Source organism: Homo sapiens, chromosome 1 (assembly GCF_000001405.40).
Source record: "Homo sapiens chromosome 1, GRCh38.p14 Primary Assembly".
Taxonomy (NCBI): Eukaryota; Metazoa; Chordata; class Mammalia; order Primates; family Hominidae; genus Homo; species Homo sapiens.
In genome coordinates, this window is record NC_000001.11 from 119780143 (window position 1) to 119784372 (window position 4230).

At 43.3% G+C, this 4230-nt stretch overlaps 1 annotated feature.

The window, feature by feature from the left end:
* Positions 950–1148: a silencer, noted in NCBI's record as "fragment chr1:120323715-120323913 (GRCh37/hg19 assembly coordinates)". NCBI's record gives its function as "represses an EF-1alpha promoter that drives an FKBP-Casp9 reporter gene in an ReSE screen in K562 erythroleukemia cells {active_cell/tissue: K562}" and the evidence as "EXISTENCE:reporter gene assay evidence [ECO:0000049][PMID:32094911]".

Genomic DNA, 4230 nt, shown 5'->3' on the forward strand with positions numbered 1-4230 from the left:
CCATGATGTAAACACTCTCATCACGGTCGATTGCAGGCTACCGACATGAACATGACGCTGGGAAGTGTTATACACAGTTGACTCTGATTGGAGGCAGCTGTGAACTCTGGGAAGAGCCAGGGCTCTTTTCCAGGACTGGCTGGACCTTTGGGAGTGAAATAAAAACTGAGCAGGAATAAGGACAACAGCAATGAAGGGAAGAGAAGGTTGATATAAAAAGTGGGGATGGAACAGAGCCAGGGCATTTCAGAGAGCAAGCGGCCATGCTTCAGAACACTACCCAAAAAACAAAGAATAGGGAGCTCTCCAAAGTTGGATGAGTTGCCTCTAACCGCCCCACCTTCTAGAAGTTCAGGAAAGGTAATGTTACATAAAAATGTACCGAGGTAAAATCCCGAGCAAAGTTATTATAAAGCATTTAACTCCATGGTTTCCAGACTTGTAGCACACGATAATCACTGGAAGCAAAAACGAAAACAGAGAATACTCTTTCTGTGCCATTTATTGTGGATATGAGGCCACACTCCTGACTACCTACAATAAGTTAAACTGACCTAACCAAAGCCATGACATTGACAGCTGTTGTCTTCAGCAGCCTCCTTCCACCCACTCAACTCGCTGCATCCTCCTAACTTTCTCCCAGTTTTCTAGAGATTTTCAGCTGCAGGGGTATCATGACAACTAATATTTCAGTGATTAATTTTAGCTGAGTAAAATTTCCTTCCCCAGTACTTTCATACAATAGCTGTAGTATTGTATGTTTTCATTGTATGACCCTCTAGGAATCACTAATGTGGGGATTTCAAAAAAAGTATAGGCTGGGGTAATGGGGAAGAAATTTTGGGTCAGAAGAGTTCAACAGTTCCAGTTCTTTGGCAGACTAGAAAGAAGGGCTGTTCATGTCCTTAGGAGGGGCAAGAACCGGGGACCCTTTGGGAATTGCAGTAGCACTTATTCAAGAACCATCTGCTTTGGGTGTGCACTCGGTAACTCAGGTTCAAAAACATTTGATTTTCAAGATTCAAATTCCTGGGTGTGGTAGCATACGACTATAATCCCAACTACACCAGAGGCTGATGTAGGAATATCCCTTAAACCCAGGAGTTCAAGACCAGTCTCGAAACCATTGTGAGATCCTCCTGTCTCATTAAACAAATAAACAAACAAAACAACTAAGAAAGTCACACACACAAAATTAAAATTCCTAAGAATGAAACTTTAATTGGTCTGTTTTGGGTCCCATGTCCATTCTCTTGGTGTATAAGTGGGATTTTATAATCAACAGCTCTGGACTACATGGAATTTCTCAAGAAGGGAAGCAAAAAAGCAAAATTATACAAGATGTCCACTGGAGGCATTTGTCTAAATTTGCCTGGTTCCAGTCAGCCTGATTAGGTAACTTGATGCATTTTGTTGAATGAAATCTAATGAGTAACTCAAGAAATTAAAATCGACCTGATGTGGCTGGTTCTCACGTGGCTTCTGTTCCATGCCACACTATCCCCGACACTGGACTTGGCACTTCTTTGCGTTGACTTTACAAAATCCTTTCACGCCCCACATCATTGATTAAAGATTTTGTGTTGAGACAGAGAAAATGATGATATTGTATGCCACAGAGCAAACAAACTCAACCAAACTCAAATCCTATTAAGAAACTACCCCAATGCCCATCAACAATAGAATGAACAATTTAGTATATATTTCCAGAATGAAATATGACATAGCATGAAAATAAATGCTCTAGAATGATGCAATGACATGGATGATGTCACAAACAATATTGTCGGACAAAAATGAGTATATGTTATATGATTCCATGTATATGAAAACAGGCAAAGCGAGTCCACGTTGTGCTGAGTCAGGATAGTGGTTGCCTCCTCGGGGGGAAGGATCAAGAGTGGAAATGGGCACAAAGGCAGCTTCTGGGGTGCTGTCCAGGTTCTGCTTCTTGATCTGGGTCTGGTTCCATGGCTGTGTCCTGTCTGTGAAAATTCATTCAGGTGTGTACTTACGATATGTGCACATTTCTGTTCGTGTATGATATACTCAATAAAAAGTTAAAGCAACTTTGACAGTCCTTCTCTTCCCACAGTGCCTCCTTGGTGGTCAGGCCAATCAGGGATGCTTCTGCTGTCAGCTGTTAGCTGCATCCCCACTGCACCCCTCATGCTCAGGGGTCCTGCTTTAAACGTGTGCGCATCTCTGCTCTGTACAGCTCCCTGGAAGTTGCAGTCTTCTACTGTAACTGCTTCTCTCTTGGGGGTCAGCCCTGCCTGGCCTTCTGGCTTCCCTGGTTCTTCCACGGTTCTTGTAAATGAAATGTCCTTCATCTCATGATGTTTTCAACCTGAGGAAAGTATTTGAAAATATTTACAATTTTGGATTCAAAAATTCTCTCCCTATGGGATAGATTAGGAGAAGAGATCTAGTAGTCCACTGACTTACAGTACAAACATATTTCTTCATCTTCCTTCTCTCAAGGAAGTTACATGCTAAGTACTAGGGGTGCTAGTCTAGTGATCGACCTTGTGATATTTGTGCTCATGAAGTTGCCCTCAGGTCTTTCCTGTATCCTCTCAGTTCCTGCTGTTTTCAGTACCTGCTGCTGGTGGATAAACACTGCAGCCCCCAGCCCTCAGGTAATACTCTGACGCGTGTGTATTGTGTGGGAGTCTTGAATTCCCAGAGGGATGAAAGCTCAAGCAGTCCACAGTTCATAATTTATTAACACATCTTTTCTTAGCTGCCTCTCTTCACTATGGCAATTTCCCCTTCCCCTGCAGCCCTGCAGGCATTTCCTAGGATCAGCTCCCAAAGAGACCAGCTCCACATGAATTCCTGCCTCAGAGTCTGAGCCTGGGGGAACTCAAAACCAAGGCAGTGATCTGCCTTTCCCATAAACATACACATGTGCCTGTGTGCACAGGTACACATGCACACACAATGAATTTTATTGGTGCGTGGCAGACATACCTTAACGTTACCCCCAGTGAGTCATGCCCTTTGTTTAATTCTCTCCCCTTGAGAGTGGAAGGAACCTGTGACTTATCTGTAGCCAAGCGAATATAAGATGATTACTCCTGTGACTGTGTTCCATTACAGCAGACTAGAGAGAGAGATTCTCTCCAGTTTTGAAGAACACGGCTACTATGTTTGAACTGTCTATGGGGTTTACAGGATGAGAACTGTGGCTGGCCTCTAGGAGTAGGGTCTAGTTTCTAGCCAACAGCCAGTGAGAAATAGGGGCCTCTGTCCCACAACCACCAGGAGATAAATTCTGTCAAAACCCAAGTCTGGAGCGGATTCTTAAAGCCTCTGATGAAAACACAGCCCTGCTGACACCCTGACAGCAGCTTTACATGACCTCAGACAAGAGGACCCAGCTAGGTCATGTGTACACTTTGGATGCACAGAAATTCAGAGATAACAAATGTGCGTTGCTTGAAGCTGCTAAGTTTGTGGTAATTTATTACGCAACATAGAAAACTGTTCTCTATGGGAACTTCTGACCAGAGTTGGAGCATTATTTCTTTCCACTCTAGGAATTTGTTGGCAGGGATCTGACCTCAAGGTGCCTTTCTTTCTTTCTTTTCTTTCTTTCTTTCTTTCCTTTCCTTCCTTCCTTCTTTTCTTCCTTCCTTCTTCTTTCTCTTTCTTTCTTCCTTCCTTCCTTCCTTTTTCTTTCTTTCCTTCTTTCTTTCTTTCTTTATTCTTTCTTTCTTTCTTTCTCCTTCCTTCCTTCCTTCCTTTCTTCTTTCTTTCGAGATAGGACCTCACTCTGTTGCTCAGGCTGGCGTGTAGTGGCATGATCATAGCTCACTGCAGCCTTGAACTCCTGTACTCCAGCAATCCTCCTGCCTTGGCCTCCCAAGAAGCTGGGACTACAGGTGCCAGCCACCAGGCCCAGCCCACTTTGCTCTTTGGTTTGTTTTGAGAACAGCCAATATTGCCACCCTTTCTTGTTCCTCCTGAATGATTTTTACTGAAAGTAAATTTTAGGATGGCCCAACAATTCTCTGTTGAATACGTATTTCTTCAATAATGCTTCTCCATCATTGCTTCTGCAGGGCTTGCCAACACAGCCTGATTTTTCCAACGTCAGGACCAGGTCAAGGCTCACAGGACCTTGTTCCATGGCTCATTTCAAAAGTCTGTGGGGTAAAGTTCTGTCCTTCCTGAACATGAGTGTCATATATTTAACTTATGAATTTATGCAATCTTCTAAAA